Source organism: Homo sapiens, chromosome 6 (assembly GCF_000001405.40).
Source record: "Homo sapiens chromosome 6, GRCh38.p14 Primary Assembly".
Classification (NCBI taxonomy): Eukaryota; Metazoa; Chordata; class Mammalia; order Primates; family Hominidae; genus Homo; species Homo sapiens.
The window spans coordinates 64,654,245-64,678,638 of record NC_000006.12 but is presented as its reverse complement, the minus strand read 5'-3'; the positions used below and the strand labels follow the sequence as shown (position 1 = coordinate 64,678,638).

The 24,394-nt window shown below is 36.1% G+C and overlaps 1 protein-coding gene across 2 annotated transcripts in view, besides 1 other annotated feature; it reads left to right on the top strand.

Annotated features, from left to right (window-relative positions):
* Positions 1-24,394, top strand: part of EYS (eyes shut homolog) — a 1,987,247-nt gene that overhangs the window by 1,028,588 nt on the left and 934,265 nt on the right. The gene's annotated exons all lie outside the window — the stretch shown is intronic.
* Positions 23,409-23,578: an enhancer, noted in NCBI's record as "experimental_92457 CRE fragment used in MPRA reporter constructs". NCBI's record gives its function as "activates a minimal promoter by MPRAs in K562 erythroleukemia cells, with activity observed for the introgressed 6:65365039 variant allele {active_cell/tissue: K562}" and the evidence as "EXISTENCE:reporter gene assay evidence [ECO:0000049][PMID:34662402]".

Sequence of the window (24,394 nt, the reverse complement as noted above, 5' to 3'; positions counted from 1 at the left end):
AGTTCATAGCAAAACTACAGAGTGAAAAAAATATTTCAAATTATTTTTTGTTTCTGTTTTTAAGACGGAGTCTCGCTCTGTTGCCCAGGCTGGAGTGCAGTCACCCTATCTTGGTTCACTGCAACCTCCGCCTCCTGGGTTCAAGTGATTCTCCTGTCTCAGCCTCCCAAGTAGCTGGGAATACAGGAACGTGCCACCATGCCCAGCTAATGTTTGTATTTTTAGTAGAGATGGGGTTTCGCCATGTTGGCCAGGCTGTCCTCAAACTCCGGACCTCAGGTGATCTGCCCACCTTGGCCTCCCACAGTGCTGGGATTACAGGTGTGAGCCACCGCACCTGGCGTATTCTCAATGATTTTTAACACAGTATCCTTTTGTCACATCTCTACTAGCTTTTGAGTATCAAAAATAGTAAGTAAGTACAATATATTTTGAGGACAAAAAGTAGTACATGTAAGCCAGACTCTTTTTGATACTCAAAAGCTAGTAGAGATGTGACAAAAGGACACAGGAGCCAGCCTGAATGGACTCAGTGGCCAAATATGACATAATGTGAGCATGAGAAAGAATAATGGGCATAAGTAAATATAAAACAGCAAGGGGGAAAAATCCTGATTTCTTAGTGTTACTAAAATAAAAAGAGGAAAAAGTTTTACTATCTTTGAAAATTACTATTACTTCAACTGCTTATTCCTTTATAGTCATTTTTTTTTTTACTTTTAAATTTTGTGTATACCTAGTAGGTATATATCAACTCCTTGTTCTTAGCATTAGTAATTAAAGGGAGATAATTTTTTACCTTCTCTTTTTAAGACAAATTGTAGTTCATATTGATTTGATGAGGTGAAAAAAGAAACCCCATTTTGTTATGTATGAAAATGACAGAATTAGACATTTTTTTAAAATTTATAACTAAATAGTTGATTTTTACAGAACCCTCAGTGGATACTGAAACTTTTAGAAGAAATGTTTTATTTCATAAACCAACATAGTAAAAGTATCATTCACTGCATATTTTCTAATTGCAAAGAAAATTACCAAACTATAAAATAAAGTGATATGGAGGTCATCTTAAATCATCAGTCAAATTTAGCATTACTACCTTTAAGACACCATGATATATTTGTCTTGATGTAATATTTTATGAAAAGCTCATGAAAGATGCTTACCGAAAGTGGCTAACATGATTTAATTTGGTCTTAGATCTAATTTCCAATTTGGCAGAAATATGGAGTTTAGAAAAACTGAGTTAGCAAATGGTAAAATCCATAATTTCAGATATTTAATAAAGTAGCATTGCGTTTTTTTAAAAAACCAGTAGAGCTCCTTTAAATTAAGAGAGAGAGAGAACATTTCTAACAACCATATGAAACTTAATTGCATCCTGGTTAAAAAATAACACTAAACTGAAGGCAAAACAGTTATGAAATGCATTAAAGGAACAGTTGGGGAGATTGTGATAAGACTTAGATAATAGCTAATACTCAATATTTATGATTAATATTGTTAGATGTGATAATGGCCTAGGCAGCATGGAGAATATTCTGATTATTAATAACAGATGGATGTTAGAGTATTTAAGGATAAAGTATCATCTGCTTTATTAAAGTGTCTTCCGCTTGTTTTGAAACAGTTCAAAAAGCATGCATTTGCACTTTAACATATAAAGTGGATGGAATGTTTATGTGCCCACTCAAAATTCATACGTTGATTCATATGTTGAAATCCTAACTCCCAAGGTGACGGTATTAAGAGGTGGGACCTTTCGGAGATGATTAGGTCTTGAGAGCAGAGCCCTCATGAAAGGAATTCGTGCTATGAAAGACCAGAGAGAGCTCCTGTCATCATGAGAGGTTACAGTGAAAAGAAGGCCATCTATGAAGAAGCGGGCCCTCACCAGACACTGAGTCTGCTGACGCCTTGATCTTAGACTTCCCTGTCTCCAGATCTGTAATAAAAGAATTTCTATTATTCATAAGCTACCAGTCTATGGTGTTTTGCTATAGCAGCCCAAACAGACTAAGACAACATATATATACAAAATGTATGGCAAAATGTTAACAGTTATTTAATTTTGGTTGTAGGTTTACTGGTATGTATTGCACTATTTTTAAAATTTTTATGTATGTTGAAAATTATTTGTAATAACAATTATAAACAAATCAAAAGAATAAGTTATTTTAAAAAGTGAGGTCAGAAACGTAGATAATAAAGTGTCAATTTTTGAGTACCTATAATGCTCCTCTCTTCTTGCTCTCTCTCCCTCTTTCTCTCCCTCTCTCTCTCTATATATATATATAGATATATAGATATATATATATAGATATATTGGATATAGATATAGATATATTGGAAACTTTTCTAGGGTACCACTGCATATGGAATTAATTACAGCTTTCTCTACCTATCCTGTAAGTACCTTACCTGCACTATGGTCTCTTAGAAAGTTACTTAACTACTTAATCCCTTAGTTACTATTTGTAAAAGGGAATAATAATATGAAAGTCTTAGACATGTTGAGAAGATTAAATGGCTCTCTCTCTCTCCCTCTCTCTCTCTATCTATCTATATATAGATCTATCCATATATATAGATATGTATATCTATATATATCTATCGATATATATCTAGATATATAGAATCTGTCCATATATAGATCTATCGATCAATAGATATATCGATAGATATATCTAGATATATATAAAGAGGGAGAGAGAGAGAGCCATTTAATCTTCTCAACATGTCTAAAAGTTTCATATTATTATTCCCTTTTACAAATAGTAACTAAGGGATTAAGTAGTTAAGTAACTTTCTAAGAGACCATAGTGCAGGTAAAGTACTTACAGGATAGGTAGAGAAAGCTGTAATTAATTCCATATGTGATGGTACCCTAGAAAAGTTTCCAATCACAGGCCAGGTGTGGTGGCTCATGCCTGTAATCCCAGCACTTTGGGAGGCCAAGGTGGGCGGATCACCTGAGGTAAAGTTCGAGATCAGCCTAGCCAACATGGTGAAACCCTGTCTCTACTAAAAATACAAACATTAGCCAGGTATGGGGGTGGGCACCTGTAACCACCCAGGTACTCTGGAGGCTGAGGCAGGAGAATTGCTTGAACCTAGGAGGTGGAGGTTGCAGTGAGCCAAGATTGCACCACTGCACTCCAGCAAGGGCAACAGAGCCAGACTCCATCTCAAAAAAAAAAAAAAAAAGAAAAAAAAAGAGAAACAGGAAAAACGAAAAGAAAGGTTTGCAATCACAGGCATATGACCAGAATCTTTAGTTTAGGAAGATTTATTTTGCTATTGCATTTATTAAGAACTGAAGTCAGGGAAGACAGCTGTAAAATACTTAGGAAACATTATAGTGAACAGATGGTACATGATAGAAGATACCGAGTGTAGGAGTGTAAGGTGGGGAGCAAAAGCCTAAGACATTTTGAATGTATACTATACATGACTTGGAATCTGACTAAAATTTAAGATAGAAAAAATGAGCCAAAAATGCTTAAAGCTTAGCATTACTAAAATGTGGTACAGCCATTAATTAAAACTTGTATTAGAATTTGGGGGGATGGCAAAACAAATTTTATGTTGGACATGTTGATTTGGGCAACAGTAGAAATAAAAGTGGGTTATTGACAATTTCAGCATGATGTCAGGTCAGGGCTGGAGTGTCATAAACTTTTGAGTCCCTGAAAATAAAGAAATCCCTAATGGTAGAGCATATGGAAAAAGAAAGTTTGGCAAAAGTTTTCAAGCGTTAAAACTTTGATTTTTTTTTCTCCAAGCAATTGGAGTATAACAAAGCCCCAAACGTAGAAATGTATGTGTAAGTATATGTATGTGTGTGTATATATATGTGTGTGTGTGTGTATGTATATATGCGTGTGTGTGTGTGTGTGTGTGTGTTAATGACAGAAATGTTAGAGGCATAACAGATAAAAGAAAAGTATAGTTTTAAGAGGTTTCTATGCAGGCAAGAAAGCAAGATAAGCCAAGGACTTTCTATTCCTTAGGCAATTAACAGTGTGTTGGTATATTAAAGATAATAGTAAATATGACAGCAGGAATTTGGATAAAGTATATCCATCACTTCATAATTTTAAACCTTTCTCTGCTTTAAGAAACTCTCTGAACTGCCTCTTAGGGTTGCCAGCTGAATATAGAAGACTTTCATTTTACTGACAGTAATTGTACTTTTCCTGTATAAATAGAGATCCTGACTTATAAAATAAAGTTCTTAAATCCCTTCCCATCACATAAGAAAAAAAAATGGACACACTTTGCCAAATTGAAATATTAGTGAATAAAGTCTCAAAGAAATAGGGACATTTTGTCTTCTCAGAGCACCTATTGAACAATTCTCTACATGATGTATCAGCTGCCCTCTGCTAAAAAGGTAAAGCATTCCAAGGATATTTGTACTGCTTCTCTCCTCTGCCAATAAAAGAGATGGATAAATTTATGATAAGATCTATTCTCAGTAAAGAATAGATTTTAAATATTTATTGAAGTTCATAGGCCTCTATGCAACTTTTATAGGACATTTCTCTGTATCACTAGTCAAGAAATGTCATCTGCATATATATTTTTTATTAAGTTTTTTGGTTTTTCAAGTATGTGAACTGCTTCATTGTATTTCTATTAGTTACATCTCAACACATTTGTTTAAATCTTTAAATTGTAGCATGGTTTAGAACACATATTGCATTCATTATTTAATTTACATGCTGATTTTATTTAAAACATAAATTTTTCTAATAGTGCAAAGTACAGGTTTCTATTTATTTAACTGTTACTTTTTCCTAATGTTGATTGTTTTTAGGTACCATAGTAGGCATCATTAAAACATTGTAAGAATGTGGTTTAGTTGTCTGTAGGTACTGTAGTAGGCATTAAAACCAGCATTGATATCAATGAGATAAAGATTGTCTCTTCTGATTATTTCTGAATTTAGCAGAAAATATCACATCCAGGAGAGGTTGATCATTTATAAAGATCCTGAAGAGACAGCTTTATCATGAATAGTCTCGATAAGTATAATATTAATTCATTCTAATTCTCAGCAAATGTGTTTCCTTGTTAGAGGCAAAATAACTAGACAGTGACTTTTAAAAGTTCTGTGGCTGTTGGCAGCAGTACATCAAAGTTTCAACTCATTTTGAAATTGTGGCACTAGGATATTTTATTAAGGGCAAAGAATGAGATAATGTATTCAAATAGTAATTGAACATGTTGCTTCTTAGCATCTGTTCACATGATGAAGGAGTTAGTGTTATCATAACTCAATTATACTGTGCTGTCCCTATGGTCAACATAAATAATGTTCATCTTCCATCTCATATATGTCTTATCAAAATAATTGTTACAGTCGCTTCTGTGTCCTGGATGTCTATGCACTGTTTCTCTATGTGAGGAGTGAGAAGATTCTAAAAGAGTCTATCAAGATAGTGAGGTATATACTAATATCCTGAATATGAAATTCTATGGCATTTTGTTTTTACAGAAATTATTAAAACAAATATTCCAACTTTTTGAATTATAAAAGAAAGGGTAAAATTGGTTCTAAATTTAAAATACATTCCTCAGTATAGCTTTAAGCAGAGCAAGACTAACTATAAAGATAGAAGTTATGCGGAAGTTGAAAAGGAATGTTTCTAAATTTTAATGATCTCTATCTGTAACTTTTTCCTAAATATGAATGCTTCCCTTTCAACAAGTTTTAGAATGCTGGCAATATTTCATTTCCCTGTGAGGGTTATAGGGTAGGAGTAGTAAGATAAATAGTTTGAGTCACTTATCTACTTTTTAGGCCTTGGTTCAAGTTTAACCAGAAAAGTTAAATTACTGTTTTTTTCTGGTTGTCAGGAAGAGTCACAAAGAGAAATTTATTAGTTGTAACTTCTGTCGATTGTGCAGTTACTGTACTCAAAAGACCAAGGCACATAAGCTTCAGGAAACGATTTAGTTTAGTTGCGTAAGGTCTCAGAAATCCAAATTGATAGTGGAAAGGGAATAGTGAGAGAATAAAAGGGTTGAAATTATATATTTTAGAGGAATTTACATTAGTATGTGAGCAATACAATATCCCCATCATAGAGAGTAATAAAAAGTGAATGTCTCTCTGCTATTTCTTTTATGCCTCCCTTGAATACTTTAAAAGGCTTGAGGGAGGTTCAAATCCCATTATACCTAAATTAGAATCCTAGTCTAAGAAAAGGGGAAGAAAGTTTAGTTTTCAAAGTCATCAAGATATATAGAGTTCATGACAGGGGAAAAAAGAGAACTCAGATTGTACGTACTTGTATCTAAACAAAGGTCTTGTGTTTTTCCGTGATAGGCTAATGCATTTGAGTCTTGCAACACTGCTGTTCTGTGGCTGCTGTTTCATTACCGCTGAGTAAGATGATTTGAGAAAAGGGCAGAGGCCAGGGAGTGGGTAATCAGAGACTAGGGCATCAGTTAAAAGGGAAAGGTTATTCAAAAGAAAAATCTCACAAGCTAAATATATATTTGAAAAGCCTCTGGAAGACACAGCTACGAAATGACTTTCCTTTAAAGGTATCTAGGTATGATCTAAAACCAGAATAATTCAGTAATAAAATGCCATATTCATTTTAATTTCTTCTAAGAATTCAATAAAATAATTGCGCTTTGAAGATACATAACTTCTTCTTGGTGGGTTTCCACATATTAATTTTTGTATGCAATTACAGTGAGGTGATCATAAATTATTGTTTTTTTTCTATCAACATACTTAATAATAATGTTGTTTTTGGACATGTAGAAAATCATGTGCATATCAGGGGAAATGAATACTTTTCAAACACTGAGCAGGAATATATTAGTAGCCATATTCTTATGCACTGAGTGTCTCCCTCTTCTAAAACTATGTTTGGTTTTTTTTTAAATTCTATTATAATACACAACTGAGAAGCCTTAGGATAATGTTTGCAACAGAACTGTCAGATGTGTATTTGCTGTTATTTTCATCATTAAATTGTATCATCAGTTTAGAGTGTCTTAAAAACAAAATATAACCAGGTTGAAGCTCCTTCCTCATCCCTGAAATGACACACCAACATACTGTCTCAAAAAGATGGTTCTTAGCTCTTTTGGTCGGCTACAACAAAAATATAATACATGGGCGGCTTATAAACAACAGAAATTTGTTGCTCACAGTTCTGGAGTCTGGGAAGTCCAAGCTCAAGGTGCCAACAGACTCAGGGTCTGGTGAGGGCTCTCTCTCTGGTTCTTAAATGGCTCCTTGCTGTGTCCCCACATGGTAGAACATGCCAGCTATCTCTCTGGGGTCTCTTTTATAAGGGTACTGTTTCATTCATGAGGGCTCCACCTTCCTGACCTAATCCTCTCCCAAAGGCTCCACCTTCTAATACCATCACACTGGGGACTGGGTTTCAATGTATGAATTTTGGGGAGACACAAACATTCAGACCATGGCAGATGGTCTGACGCTTTATCTTCCTTAACCCTCCTCCAGGTAAAAAAGTAGATACATTTCTTCAGTGTTTTAGAACTTGAAAGTAGAATAAATTTGAGGAAGTTTTTCTAGCCTTGAGGGAATGAATGCAAAATAAAGTACTTTCTTCCTGTGGGAGGAGGAAATAGTAGGTCTGGGAATGAATTTGAGGTCTTTCCAATATTGGGAGAAGAAATGGGTTCCAGCAGCAGAGTCTAGGACTCCACTTTTACTTATCATTTAGAATTGGAGGGTGGGGGAGGGAGGCTGCTGGTGAAGGAGAGGGTCTACTGTGAGTTACTATCCTTAATATACCTGAAGGAGTAACTCCTGAGGAAAAAAATAGTATAAACCTGAGTTCCTGAGCAATGTAGAGCCTGGGAACAAAAGTACAGCATTCTCCATGAAATGTACTTATGTCTTTGGCCATTTTTTGGCACTAGGACAACCAAGATTCTTAAATAAGCCCTTGTTAGCAGACGAAGGGTAGTTCCTAAAACAAGCAAGATTGCATTTTCCTGCTTCCTGGAAGCTGGGGACACAAAAGATCCTGACTGTGGTGTAGTGAAATACAGAAATGCAAAATGTCTCATACTCTATGTTTTGAAGTGTAAACAACTGAAGCTGTGCGAATGCAATAATAATAAAGCAAAGGTCAAACGTAACACGGTTCTGCCTGTAGTTTTTCTAGTGCTATTAACGTTTTTTTTTCATTTATTTATTTATTTATTTATTTATTTATTTATTTATTTATTTTGGGCCACTTCATATTGTTAAAGTAAAAAATGCACTGGACAAAGTTAATCAGGCAATGTAGACTTCGTTCAAGGCTGTTGAAATAGGGGAGAGGCCATAACTCAGTCTGAGCTGAACTCCTCTAAGACAAAGCGTGGACGATCTTTTAAAAATGAGGGCGAGAAGGATCCACGAGTCATCTGTGTTTGTTAATTGGCTTTACCCTAAGGAAAAATAGACTTTCTTCATGACAGGAGGGAGTTTTACAACTTGGAGTAAGGTGCCCACCAAAGTTAGGCTCCTACTTTCCCTTAGAGACGGGGAGATCAGGGCATTATCTCTATGGTGATTATATTTCAAAAGGGTGGCTCCCGGATCCTGGAGAAACTTAGTCCTAGGTTGTAAAGCTTATAAGAGTTTTTAAAAGATTTACATGTCAAAGGCTAGAAAGTTAAAAGTTCTCTATGTTAATTGCTCTAAGAAAAGGAAGGTGAGGAACTTAAACAACCTATCTAACGTTAAGCTGAGAAGAATGTTAAGGCCTTTTTTGGTCAATATGCAAAATTAAGTACCACAAGGTTAAGAACATTTTGTGAATTTGACCATGTCAGTATAATTATCACTTTTTTCCTACTACTGTCAAATTCTGATTCTAAAGTTGCCTTTCATTCCCACTCTCAACATTCTGAAAATAACTAAAATCAAGAAAATGTCATTTTAAGAACAAATAAAAAACACATAGCTTTTATAAATCCTGAGGCCCAAGCAACCAAGGCTCTGCAGAGATTTGCACTTATTAAAGCACAGTCCATTGCACAAATAAAAATAAATGCAATCACTTAATTGTGTCTTAAGGAACATTACAGAAAATTCATTTCATTATTCATGTAATCACTTCTCAAAGCCCCCTTTTCTCCCCAGTACTCTCATTCAAAGAACTGGTCCAGGGCCCTTCAGTCACTGAATTCCACAAAACTCTTACACAAGCCCAAATCTGAGGTCGTTTCTCTCTCTCTCTCTTCATCTTTCCCCCACTCTGCAAACCTATCTCTCTCTCTCTTTTTTGCATCAAAGGGTGAATATCAGTTTTTTTAGATAAAGATCAGAATCTGTACAGATTATATCCATTCAAGCCTGTTAAGTCTCTTTGCAACTCCTAGCATCTTAGACTAATCTGTAAAGTAAGATAAGATTGTTATGTGGTCAATATCAAAATTTCTATTACAGTTGCTACTATTTTTAATCCTGTTTGGTAAGGATCAATTACTTATGTTTCAAACTGAAATAAGCCAACTTGTTTTCTAAGAAACGAGTGAGTATATAAAGGCCACGTTAAAATGCTATTTTTTACAGCATTATAGAAGATATTGTGAGGGTTCTTCTTTAATTTACTTCAGAGAAGAAATATTGGAAGGTACAGGCAGAAGCTAAGAAGAAAGAAAAGCACACAGATAACCAACTACAATTGGCAAAACACGTGATTTATTTAAACTAAATAAATTGGGAAAAATGATGGTCAGAGTGCCAGTCAGTGTTCACAAGAATTATGGTACTAGCGGCCAGGTGTGGTGGCTCACACCTGTAATACCAGCACTTTGGGAGGCTGAGGCGGGTGGATCACGAGGTCAGGAGATTGAGACCATCCTGGCCAACATGCTGAAACCCCGTCTCTACTTAAAAAAATACAAAAAATTAGCTGGGCGTGGTGGCGGGTACCTGTAGTCCCAGCTACTTGGGAGGCTGAGGCAGGAGAATGGTGTGAACCCAGAAGGCCGAGCTTGCGGTGAGCCGAGATTGCGTGACTGCACTCCAGCCCACTGCACTCCAGCCTGGGCGACAGAGCGAGACTCTGTCCCGAAAAAAAAAAAAAAAAAAAAAAAGAATTGTGGTACTAGCTGGAAGGCTGGGTGAGGGTAGTGCCATAAATAGGGAAATAAGACACTAAAAAAGGAGCAAATTGTGTCACCTAAAATAGGTGAAAGCAACAAATATGATAAGCATTTAGAGAAAATAGTTATTTTGACCTTTTCCAATGTCTACACCGCAGGGGACCTTTTTGTGAAGTATATTTTGAAGGTAATTCGCACTTTTCTGTACGTTTAAAACAACACAAAATGTTATCATGAAAGGTTTTGTTTTCATCTATTACTTCCAAAAGGTTTGTTTTATTTTGATCATTAAACACTTTTGTTCTGTTAGTCCTTTTAGCATGAAAGCATTAAAATAATTGATATCTTAACATTGCAATTTATTAGTATTATTGTCTGTATTAACTATATTTGCTAGTTTCAGGTTGCTTTTGGTTTTTCAATATTTCCAAATATTCTATAGGTGACTTCAAGCAGTAGTTCCCACATTTTGAGCAGCAGTAACCTTATCTGAGAAGTTATTATAGATGCAAATTCTTACGCCCAACTGTAGACTCACTGAATGAAAAACTCTGGGATGGGTAACATAAGCTGAATTTTTAAGCCCTCCAGATGTTATGATGCATGCTAAAGTTTGAGACATTTGGCTTATGATACTTACCTGCAAATACTGGCTCAAAGTCTTTAGCTGAATACATGGAGTCCTTTCACTCCTCTACCTGCTTGTAGAGCATTTTTTATTATCATATATTTGTGTATGAATTTATTCATTTGTGATGGACAATAAAATGACCACAATGTATTTTCAATAATATTAAAAATCTTAAAAAACAATATGTAAATTACCTTTTGAGTGTTTCTAATGTTTTATGGGTGCTGGATCTCCCTCTATATGAAAATATAATATTCTGAATAAATGAAAGAAAACTACTACTCTTTAGAGAAATTTAACATGATAAACTAAGGGAATGAACTCAGAAAAAAATTAAAAATAACAATATATGTTAGTCATAAAATATATAAGGAAATAGCAAAAAAAAAAGTCATAAGTTCCCAAATGATCTTTTAAAATAACTATTTAACAGAATGTCCTTCCCAGCAATCCATCCAAGATGTAAAAGAGATAATGATGCCATCTGCACGTTGTGTCCAAAGCTGCAAGGAGGCACTGGGGCATCTGCTCTCTCCACCCACGGTGTAACAAAATGGGATTCTGCCATCAGGACATCAGGGGAAGGCTCCATGTATTTGGCATCTTTAAGAAATTAGGAGATCAAATAAATTAATTTTTATATTAAAAACTTAGATACCAATAAATGATGTTAATCATTTTAAGAGGAAATAATATATTTTATATTATTATATATTATAAATATTATTAAATATTTAATAAGTTCTCTGTGCTCTTACACATTTCATTAAGCAGAGAATCCTGAGTGAGGATATAGGGAAAGTTCTTGGTGTTCTTAAATATCAACTATGAAACTCCTCTTGATTTCTGTGATTCTTTTTGTGATGTCACAGTGAATATGATGATTTGCTCCTTTCCCTAAATGCCATTGAACTGTAATAAAACTATTCTGGTCTGCCCATTGATCTCCAGGGGAGAAAATAAAACAAAAACACAAAAGTCTAGGAAAATGAAAGAATTGAGAAATATTTCAAACACTCTCAAAGGAGTCGACTGATGAGGATGAAATAAGAAAAAAATAATTCTTACATAGCCCATTAAATATATGGAATCAGGTTGTGAGGAGAAAGTAGGATAAACAGACTGGTTATTGGTAGGTTCCTTTTGAGATGTGTGTAGAGCATCCATGTGGAGATAACTAAGTGGCCACTGAAAATATAGATCTAGTTTAATGAGAGCAGTTAGGACTGGAAACACAAGTTAGTAGTCATTGTCATATCAGTTATAAATAACATTGATTTCTGGTTGGTATTATTTAGCAATAATTTAATGAAAAGAAGACAACAGACATTACAGCCCAAAGAAACAGTAACATTTAAGAAGTGTGTGATTGAAGTTGACACAGTGAAAGTAAATAAACAAGTAGCAAAAGATTGGAATGGGAATGTCATGGGAACTAGGGGAGAATTAACTTCAAGGAGAGATTGATTTATTGCATTGATCCCAAAATGAAGTCAGGATTAGCAGAGAGTCTTGACTTTTGTAATCATTAGATTGGATGATTTTTGTTAGAGCAATTTAAACATTAGAGGTGAAAGATATGTTGTCATGAGTTGAGAAGTAAATGGGAAATTAAAAATCAAAGCAGTGAGTACAGGTTTTGTGTTTTGTTTTATTTTTAAGTTTTAGGTTTGGGGGTACACTTGAACGTTTGTTACATAGGTAAATTCACATCACAGTGATTTGCTGTACATATTATTTCATCAGCCAGGTATTAAGCTCAGTCCTCGATAGTTATTTTTCTGCTCCTCTCCCTCTCCTCACTCTCCTCACTCTCCACACTTAGACCTCAGTGTCTGTTGTTCCCTTCTTTGTGTTCATATGTTTTTATTTAGCTCCAACTTATAAGTGAGAGCATGCAGTATTTGGTTTTCTGTTCCTGCATTAGTTTGCTAAGGATAACAGCCTCCAGCTCCATCCAAGTTCCTGGCCTCCAGCCACCCCCTCACTAGAGTACACATTATGTTGATGATGAAGGGAAAACAGCAAATTGGGTAATAGGTAGGAAAATCGGGCATTCTCTTTAGAATGGAGTGACAAATATATGGCATGTTCACAAATATGGAGGCCCAGCTTTGGAAAACAGTAAGAGCATAGCTTTCTCAGAACAGTAGGAACAGAACTCAGTATGGAAAAAAGAAAAGCGGGAGGGGGTCTTGGAAGTGAAAACGTGACAATTGGTTCAATTGAAGCATAGTATTAAGTGTGCTTTTTATACCAGTATAATAATTTCTAAATTTGTTTTAAATGTCTATATACAGATAATTTTCAGACCTATTAACTTAAGACATTTAAATATAATACAAATGCACTTTTAGCATAACGATAATTTTGAAACATCCAAAAAACTTAGAATGACCATATTAATGGTGACTAGGGCTGTTTCTCCAAGTTAAAATTTTATACAAAACCTGGAACCTAAAACATAGTCTAAACAAAAAAAGTCTATGAGCCAAGCAAGGCTAAATTTGATTTAGCCTATAATAGTTTGAAATCCAATTTTGGATAAATCCCTTACTCAAAGCACTTACAACAATTAAATTATGTTTTATTTTTATCATTTCTACTTCACTCTTGCATTTTTTTCACAATTTGTTCCACATTACCTAAAAAGATTATTTTACTATGTTATTTAAAACACATATGTGAATTTACTAATTATTAAAAACCTCACATGCAGTATTTTATAAATGCCAGAACATTATTACAGTGGACAAAGTTTCGGAAAACAAGCGTTTCATTTATGAAAACTTTCAAAGTCTATATTATTTGTATCACAGTTGTATCATGTTTACACATTCCCACATATGTATATTTACAAAGATAAGACTTTTCATGTGACTCTTTTTTCACACATGTGCAGAAATATGCAAGAAATTGATGTACTCTATAGTAATAGATGTATATTAATATAGGTATACATAATCACCTCATTTCATGTTGTGGTACTTGTCTTGGTCTGTTCAGGTTGCTATATAAAACACCTTAAACTGGACGGCTTGTAAACAACAAAAATTTATTTCTCATATTTCTGGAGGATGGGAAGTCCAAGATCAAGATGCTAGCAAATTCATGTCTGGTGGGGACCCATTTTCTAGTTCATAGATAGTCAGCTGTCTTCTTACTGTGTTCTCATGATGAAAAGGTCAAATGAGCTCCCTCTGGCCTCTTTCATAAGAATAATACTCCTATTCATTAGAGCAAAGCCCTCAGGACCTAATCATTTGGTAAAAGTCTCACCTCCCAATTAAACCCAGCTGTGAAGGTTAAGATTTCAACATATGAATTTGGGGGCGGGTGAGGAGGTGGAAATAAACATTCAGCTCACTGCAGTGTTTTTTAACTCTTTTGGCCAAATATCCCACTTCCCCTCTTTCCAGACATATCATATTGAGAGACAGGACTAGCTGGATTTCCTAGGCCAACTAAGAATTCCTAAGCCTTGCTGGGAAGGTGACTGCATCCACCTTTAAACACGGAGCTTGTAACTCAGCTCACACCCAACCAATCAGGTAGTAAAGAGGGCTCACTAAAACACCAATTAGGCTAAAAACAGGAGGTAAAGAAATAGTCACATCATCTATCATCTGAGAGCACAGGGGAAGGGACAATGATTGGGATATAAACCCCAGCCATTAAGTGGGGAGTGGGAAACCCCCTTTGGGTCCCCTCCCATTGTATGGGAGCTCTGTTTTCACTCTATTAAATCATGCAACTGCATACTCTGCTGGTCCATGTTTGTTCCAGCTGGAGCTGAGTTATCACTCGCCGTCCACCACTACTGATCCCTGCGTTGCAGACCTGCCGCTTACTTCCATCCCTCCAGATCGGGCAGGGTGTCTGCTGCGCTTCTAATCCAGCAAGGCGCCTAATGCCACTCCTGATCGGGCTAGAGGCTCGCCATTATTCTGTGCAGCTAAGTGCCCAGGTTCATCCTAATCTAGCTTAACACTAGTCGCTGGGTTCCATGGTTCTCTTCCGTGACCCAGGGCTTCTAATAGAGCTATAACACTTACTGCATGGCCCAAGGTTCTATTCCTTGGAATCCTTGAGGCCAAGAACCCCAGGTCAGAGTGCAAGAGGCTTGCTGCCATCTTGGGGGCTCTGGGAGCAAAGACCCGCTGCTAACAGTATGACGGTACATCTAGCTTCCTTCTGTTTGGTTGAGGCAACGTCAATATTTTTCACTAAGGGGAGAAGTTGGCTGGAAGTAACGTGTTCCTCTGTGGGAAGAGCAATTAAATACTCATGAGAGAATTGCAGGCTCACTTTTTTTGCTGATATGGACATTGGTAATACATCATCAGCCAGGTCCAAAGGGAGGACAATGATCCGAAGAATGTAGTTCTAGTGAACCCGTGATAGCTTTGTCTTATAAGCAAGAAATAAGCTTTTGTTACTTTAGCCTCTGAGATTTGGGGATTATTTTTTCAAACAGCATAAGTTAGTCTACCATGACCAATTTACTTATCAACCTTTTGAAAAAGTTGTTAACTGTCCAATTAATGGTGTTACCAAATGAAGTGGTATCCAATTAAAGTTTTCCTCACTCAGACTTTCTTGAGACTTAATGAGAATAAAAACTGAGCAATTTTCCCTTATTACCAATGGTATATTTCGTCAGAATATGGCTTTTTTGTTTTACAAGCATACATAATTATTGTTGTCAGTGGATTTTGAATTTTTAGCAAAATTGTTATCAAGATAACTAGTAACATTGGGAAGTCTAATTCTATTATTTTTTAGGAAAATCATCAATTCGCTAAGCTCTGATTAACTCTTACAGATTTTTAAAAATCTAGCCCTCTTCAATAAAAAGCTATTTTCTTGAATACATTCCTATTCAAAGATCTGCAACTTTATGTAATTTCTGACCTGAATTGCACAGATACTTGGTAGTTGTGTGTTTAGATATAAACAGTCTAGGTTCCTTTCAGAAAAGGTCTAGAGCAGTAATTCTCAAAAATGGGGTGGAGGTATATCAGAAGGATCTCAAGTCAGAATTCCTTGAGTCAGAATCTAAATCCATTATTTGCTAACTGCGTGATCTTGGGAAATTACTTAACCTTATTAAAACACAATCATTCTCATTTATAAAACAAAAATAAGAGTAGGAACTATCTCAATATATTATGTAAAATGTTATACAAAACCTGGAACCTAAAACATAGTCTAAACAAAAAAAATCTATGAGCGAAGCAAGGCTAAATTTGATTTAGCCTATAATAGTTTGAAATTACAAACTATTATACAAACAGACTAGAGAGCATTTGAAGAGTTGTGTATTCACTGGGAGTTTAATAAAGGCATTTCAGAATAATATTTGCTGGATGAGATGCATATCTGCTTGCTGTCCCACGGGACAATAAATTATAACTTTGGGGTTATTTTTCTCTTCTGAACAGAAAGTATTTGCATCTCTACTGGACAAAAGTCTATAAGCAAACTAAATCTGGGACTTTTAAATGATAATCTTTTTTTATTATACTTTAAGTTTTAGGGTACATGTGCACAACGTGCAGGTTAGTTACATATGTATACATCTGCCATGTTGGTATGCTGCACCCAGTAACTCGTCATTTAACATTAGGTATATCTCCTAATGCTATCCCTCCCCCCTCCCCCCACCCCACAACAGGCCCCAGTGTGTGATGTTCCCCTTCCTGTGTCCATGTGTTCTCATTGTTCAGTTCCCACCTATGAGTGAGAACATGTGGTGTTTGGTTTTTTGTCCTTGTGATAGTTTGCTGAGAATGATGGTTTCCAGCTTCATCCATGTCCCTACAAAGGACATGAACTCATCGTTTTTTATGGCTGCATAGTATTCCATGGTGTATATGTGCCATGTTTTCTTAATTGAGTCTATCATTGTTGGACATTTGGGTTGGTTCCAAGTCTTTGCTATTGTGAATAGTGCCGCAATAAACATACGTGTGCATGTGTCTTTATAGCAGCATGATTTATAATACTTTGGGTATATACCCAGTAATGGGATGGCTGGGTCAAATGGTATTTCTAGTTCTAGATCCCTGAGGAATTGCCACACTGAATTCCACAATGGTTGAACTAGTTTACAGTCCCACCAACAGTGTAAAAGTGTTCCTATTTCTCCATATCCTCTCCAGCACCTGTTGTTTCCTGACTTTTTAATGATCACCATTCTAACTGGTGTGAGATGGTATCTCATTGTGGTTTTGATTTGCATTTCTCTGTTGGCCAGTGATGATGAGCATTTTTCATGTGTCTTTTGGCTGCATAAATGTCTTCTTTTGAGAAGTGTCTGTTCATATCCTTCGCCCAATTTTTGATGGGGTTGTTTTTTTCTTGTCAATTTGTTTGAGTTCATTTTAGATTCTGGATATTAGCCCTTTGTCAGATGAGTAGATTGCAAAAATTTTCTCCCATTCTGTAGGTTTCCTGTTCACTCTGATGGTAGTTTCTTTTGCTGTGCAGAAGCTTTTTAGTTTAATTAGATACCATTTGTCAATTTTGGCTTTTGTTGCCATTGCTTTTGGTGTTTTACATATGAAGTCCTTGCCCATACCTATGTCCTGAATGGTATTGCCTAGGTTTTCTTCTAGGGTTTTTATGGTTTCAGGTCTAACATGTAAGTCTCTAATCCATCTTGAATTAATTTTCCTATAAGGTGTAAGGACAGGATCCAGTTTCAGCTTTCTACATATGGCTAGCCAGTTTTCCCAGCACCATTTATTAAATAGGGAATCGTTTCCCCATTTCTTGTTTTTGTCAGGTTTGTCAAAGATCAGATGGTTGTAGATATGTGGCATTATTTCTGAGGGCTCTGTTCTGTTCCATTGGTCTATATCTCTGTTTTGGTACCAGTAACATGCTTTTTGGTTACTGTAGCCTTGTAGTATAGTTTGAAGTCAGGTAGTGTGATGCCTCCAGCTTTGTTCTTTTGGCTTAGGATTGACTTGGCAATGCGGGCTCATTTTTGTTTCCATATGAACTTTAAAGTAGTTTTTTCCAATTCTGTGAAGAAAGTAATTGGTAGCTTGATGGGGATGGCATTGAATCTATAAATTACCTTGGGCTGTATGGCCATTTTCATGATATTGATTCTTCTTACCCATGAGCGTGGAATGTTCTTCCATTTGTTTCTGTCCTCTTTTATTTCATTGAGCAGTGGTTTGTAGTTCTCCTTGAAGAGGTCCTTCACATCCCTTGTAAATTGGATTCCTAGGTATTTTATTCTCTTTGAAACAATTGTGAATGGGAGTTCACTCATGATTTGGCTCTCTGTCTGTCTGTTATTGGAGTATTAGAATGCTAGTGATTTTTGCACATGGCTTTTGTATCCTGAGACTTTGCTGAAGTTGCTTATCAGCTTAAGGAGATTTTGGGCTGAGATGATCGGGTTTTCTAGATATAAAATCATGTCATCTGCAAACAGGGACAATTTGACTTCCTCTTTTCCTAATTGAATACCCTTTATTTCCTTCTCCTGCCTGATTGCCCTGGCCAGAACTTCCAACACTATGTTGAATAGGAGTGGTGAGAGAGGGCATCCCTGTCTTGTGCCAGTTTTCAAAGGGAATGCTTCCAGTTTTTGCCCATTCAGTATGATATTGGCTGTGGGTTTGTCATAGATAGCTCTTATTATTTTGAGATACTTCCCATCAATACCTAATTTATTGAGAGTTTTTAGCATGAAGTGTTGTTGAATTTTGTCAAAGGCCTTTTCTGCATCTATTGAGATAATCATGTGGTTTTTGTCGTTGGTTCTGTTTATATGCTGGATTATGTTTATTGATTTGTGTATGTTGAACCAGCCTTGCATCCCAGGGATGAAGCCTGCTTGATCATAGTGGATAAGCTTTTTGATGTGCTGCTGGATTCAGTTTGCCAGTATTTTATTGAGGATTTTTGCCTCGATATTCATCAGGGATATTGGTCTGAAATTCTCTTTTTTGGTTGTGTCTCTGCCAGGCTTTGGTATCAGGATGATGCTGGCCTCATAAAATGAGTTAGGGAGGAGTCCCTCTTTTTCTATTGATTGGAATAATTTCGGAAGGAATGGTACCAGCTCCTGCTTGTACCTCTGGTAGAATTCGGCTGTGAATCCATCTGGTCCTGCACTTTTTTTGGTTGGTAAGCTCTTAGTTTTTGCCTCAATTTCAGAGCCTGTTATTGGTCCATTCAGAGATTCAACTTCTTCCTGGTTTAGTCTTGGGAGGGTGTATGTGTCAAGGAATTTATATATTTATTCTGGATTTTCTAGTTTATTTGCTTAGAGGTGTTTATAGTATTCTCTGATGGTAGTTTGTATTTCTGTGGGATCGGTGGTGGTATCCCCTTTATCATTTTTTATTGCATCTATTTGATTCTTCTCTCTTTTCTTCTTTATTAGTCTTGCTAAAGGTCTATCAATTTTGTTGATCTTTTCAAAAAACCAGCTCCTGGATTCATTGATTTTTTGAAGGGTTTTTTGTGTCTCTATTTCCTTCAGTTCTGCTCTGATCTTAGTTATTTCTTGCCTTCTGCTAGCTTTTGAATGTGTTTGCTCTTTCTTATCTAGTTCTTTTAATTGTGATGTTAGGGTGTCAATTTTAAATCTTTCCTGCTTTCTCTTGTGGGCATTTAGTGCTATAAATTTCCCTCTACACACTGCTTTGAATGTGTCCCAGAGATTCTGGAATGTTGTGTCTTTGTTCTCATTGGTTTCAAAGAACATCTTTATTTCTTCCTTCATTTTGTTATGTACCCAGTAGTCATTCAGGAGCAGGTTGTTCAGTTTCCATGTAGTTGAGCGGTTTTGAGTGAGTTTCTTAATCCTGAGTTCTAGTTTGGTTGCACTCTGGTCTGAAAGACAGTTTATAATTTCTGTTCTTTTGCATTTGCTGAGGAGTGCTCTACTTCCAACTATGTGGTCAATTTTAGAATAAGTGCAGTGTGGTGCTGAGAAGAATGTATATTCTGTTGATTTGGGGTGGAGAGTTCTGAAGATGTCTATTAGGTCCACTTGGTGCAGAGCTGAGTTCAATTCCTGGATATCCTTGTTACCTTTCTGTCTCGTTGATCTGTCTAATATTGACAGTGGGGTGACCCCCAAGTAGCCTAACTGGGAGGCACCCCCCAGTAGGGGCAGACTGACACCTCACATGGCCGGGTACTCCTCTGAGACAAGACTTCCAGAGGATTGATCCAGTAGCAACATTTGCTGCTCACCAATATCCGCTGTTCTGCAGCCTCCGCTGCTGATACCCAGGCAAACAGGGTCTGGAGTGGATCTCCAGCAAACTCCAACAGACCTCCAGCTGAGGGTCCTGACTGTTAGAAGAAAAACTGACAAACAGAAAGGACATCCACACCAAAACCCCATCTGTACGTCACCATCATCAAAGACCAAAAGTAGATAAATCCACAAAGATGGGGAAAAAACAGAGAGCAGAAAAACTGGAAACTCTAAAAATCAGAGTACCTCTCCTCCTCCAAAGGAATGCAGCTCCTCACCAGCAGCAGAACAATGCTGGACGGAGAATGACTTTGATGAGCTGAGAGAAGAAGGCTTCAGACGATCAAACTTCCGAGCTAAAGGAGGAAGTTCGAACCCATGGCAAAGAAGTTAAAAACCTTGAAAAAAAATTAGACGAACGGATAACTAGAATAATCAATGCAGAGAAGTCCTTAAAGGACCTGATGGAGCTGAAAACCAAGGCAGGAGAACTACGTGACGAATGCACAAGCCTCAGTAGCCGATTTGTTAACTGGAAGAAAGGGTATCAGTGATGGAAGATCAAATGAATGAAATGAAGCAAGAAGAGAAGTTTAGAGGAAAAAGAGTAAAAAGAAGTGAACAAAGCCTCCCAGAAATATGGGACTATGTGAAAAGACCAAATCTACATCTGATTGGTGTACCTGAAATTGACAAGGAGAATGGAACCACGTTGGAAAACACTCTGCAGGATATTATCCAGGAGAACTTCCCCAATCTAGCAAGGCAGGCCAATATTCAAATTCAGGAAATACAGAGAATGCCAAAAAGATACTCCTCGAGAAGAGCAACTCCAAGACACATAATTGTCAGATTCACCAAAGTTGAAATGAAGGAAATAATGTTAAGGGCAGCCAGAGAGAAAGGTTGGGTTACCTACAAGGGGAAGCCCATCAGACTAACAGCTGATCTCTCGGCAGAAACTCTACAAGCCAGAAGAGAGTGGGGGCCAATATTCAACATTCTTAAAGAAAAGAATTTTCAACCCAGAATTTCATATCCAGCCAAACTAAGCTTCATAAGTGAAGGAGAAATAAAAACCTTTACAGACAAGCAAATTCTGAGATATTTTCTCACCACCAGGCCTGCCCTAAAAGAGCTCCTGAAAGAAGCACTAAACTTGGAAAGGAACAACCAGTACCAGCCACTGCAAAAACATGCCAAATTGTAAAGACCATCAATGCTAGGAAGAAACTGCATCAACTAATGAGCAAAATAACCAGCTAACATCATAATGACAGAATCAAATTCACACGTAACAATATTAAGCCTAAATGTAAATGGGCTAAATGCTCCAATTAAAAGACACAGACTGGCAAATTGGATAAAAAGTCAAGACCCATCAGTGTGCTGTATTCAGGAAACCCATCTCATGTGCAGAGACACACATAGGCTCAAAATAAAGGGATGGAGGAAGATCTACCAAGCAAATGGAAAACAAAAAAAGGCAGGGGTTGCAATCCTAGTCTCTGATAAAACAGACTTTAAACCAACAAAGTTCAAAAGAGACAAAGAAGGCCATTACATAATGGTAAAGGGATCAATTCAACAAGAAGAGCTAACTATCCTAAATATATATGCACCCAATACAGGAGGACCCAGATTCATAAAGCAAGTCCTTAGAGACCTAGAAAGAGACTTAGACTCCCACACAATAATAATGGGAGACTGATAATCTTAATAGATGCAAATACCTTAGCTCACTCTGTCATGCTGTTGTCTAATGGGTGGCTATCACTCCTACTCCTCTCATCCTACCATTTCAACCTTTTACAGCCAATTTCCAGCAAACTGTGTATTTATTTATGAGCTTGTTTATTTCAGAAACTACTTTCATGCAAAGCAGAACAGAAATTCTGGTGAATTAACCCCCTTCCCCTTCTCATCCTCCCAATCCAGGATGCAGCCCCCAACAATTACTGATGGAAGTTTGGGTATACACACCTTAGCTTTCTTAGTCTATCAGGTGGGATAATTCTGAAGTGTGTGTTTTTTACGGTTGATCAGAGTTTCCTAGGGGAATAACCTCTAAGCACCCACTTTAATAGTTGATTTAATTTCATTTTCTACATTCTCTTTCATCTACCAACTTACTCAACTTTAGGTGTGTTTTATATCTCCTAAAAAACTACTTCTACTCAAACTTTTTGCTCAAGGTCTGTTTCTGGAGACTCCCAACTAAGGTATTCCTGTCTTGGAAAAGTTCTCAAGACCTACCATATTCTCCATCAATCAGTCAAGGTTGTAGGGTTAGTTGACTAAATATGTGCCTGAGTTAAGCCTGTTATTCAAGAATAATTGCTAATGCTCCCCTAACTCACTCTCAAAAGAACAGGTATGGGAAAATCTTCTTTCCCCACCTCCCACCAACCCACTCAATAAAGTTGTATCTCTCATTAGACACCATCGTAAAACATAGCAGCATTTATTTTTTTTTCTGTGATACTAATTTTTCTCTCTGTATTTGATTGTAATATCTACAAAGATCTTGTCCATGGTGCTCATCACTGTATGAAACCTACAATACCTCATAACATAATAGGTAATTGACAAATACTACTTGAATGTTGTTCATAAAATAGAGAAAATAGAAGCAAACATAAAAGTGATGCTGTTAACTTTTCAAAGAGGTGAAGACAACCATAGACAATTTTCCATCACATGTATTTTTTGGTGAAATAAAAAGAAGACATATTATAAATTTACATATTTTTAGGTGTTAACTCATAAAACAGTTAAGAAACAATGCTATGATCATTGTTTTAAATTCCATCATCTACTTTTATTTTGATGTATGCATTCACTATACTATTCATTATGGACCATATGATATTTATTATTAAATAAAGTAAGAGCTGTATGATAGATACCAATAAGCCAATTTATTTGACAATAAGCCCTTTTTTAATAATTGCTTATCCATGACTTATTATATATATAGAAAAATTATCAGTAAGCCAGTCATATTTGTTCAGAACAGGTTATGTAATGCATTTGTAGTATTGTATTGATGACCATTTTAAGGTATACAGCATGAGGTTATAAGACACATATATATAGCAAACATTATCTTTATTGATATGTCTGTTTCCCTTTTTTTCTAATTACTATGTTAATTACTGTGAATGCTCCACAATGAAGGGCTAAAATGATAGATCTTAAGAAGACTCAAATATATAATATGCATTAGATATTTTTTATAAAATATTAATAAATTTAGACACTTTGTAGGCATCAAAGATTGATATCCTGATAACATTATTAGACTTTGAGCAGAAAAAGATTCAAAAGCATATTTTAAAAATATGAAACCTACTTATTTTATCAAAATAAAAAATATTTCACGGTAAAATCAATCATCTCTCTTAATGCAGTTCAGCAAGGTCATTTCTTGTAGGTCTTAATGTAACAGAAAAGCATTTAGCTCAAAAAATTTCTGGCAGGTCTAAAGATGTTTGAATTTTATAGCTGTCCTTGATCACCTTTCTTGGAGTGGGGGTTAAGAGGAAGAGGGCTGCAGGTGAGCAATGATTACATGAATGATAAGTTCTTTGATGGATCGATTTTTTTCACGTTTTTAATTTAGAAGGTAAAACTTTCTATCACAATTTAAGCTAAAAATTATGGCTGAGATAATAGAGGTCTGATTCCAGTGCAAGTTAAAGAGGAAAAAGTTGCTGCTCAAATGTCAAGACATCCTGTGGTCCGGGATGATTAAAACTAAACTGTTTGCTATATGAATCCCAAGGTGCAGCTATACCTCAGCTTTGGTGACATTTAGCCGGTGACTTTTCATAGCTTGTTAATAATGTATAGCTGTCCCTATATAAATTTGCAGTGACAGAAGTGGCCATTTGGAGTGGAGCAGTTAATGAGATTTATTCGTGACAGAAAATGCAGATTTGAAAATATTTCTAAAAAATCAGGATTCATGTCAAAAGAAATCATGTATTTAAAAGACAATAGCATCATAACATTTTTCAGGTGTTGTAACTAAAATCACAGAACTTTGTCAAGCAACATTTGTTCTATTTTTAATCATTCTATACAGTGCAAGCCCCAGCTCCCTCTGCAACTTGGTCCTACTTATCCTGCCAAATCGGAAAACTTCACCTTGCAAATCACTTCCTCAGAGGGCATTTTCTCACCTTTGACTTGGTTAGTTCCATATAATTCATGTTTCCCATTATAAGACTAACCATACATTTTTGTAATTGCTTGTTTGATGCCTGTCTTTCCCTCTAGACAACAGTAGCATGTTTCTTAGCCAATTTTTGGATTTCAATGAATCCTTAAATGATTATTGAATGATCAGATCAACACTAGCAAGTAGAGATATGCATATTATTTGTAAAAGTGAGAGGTATCATTAATTTATTAGACAA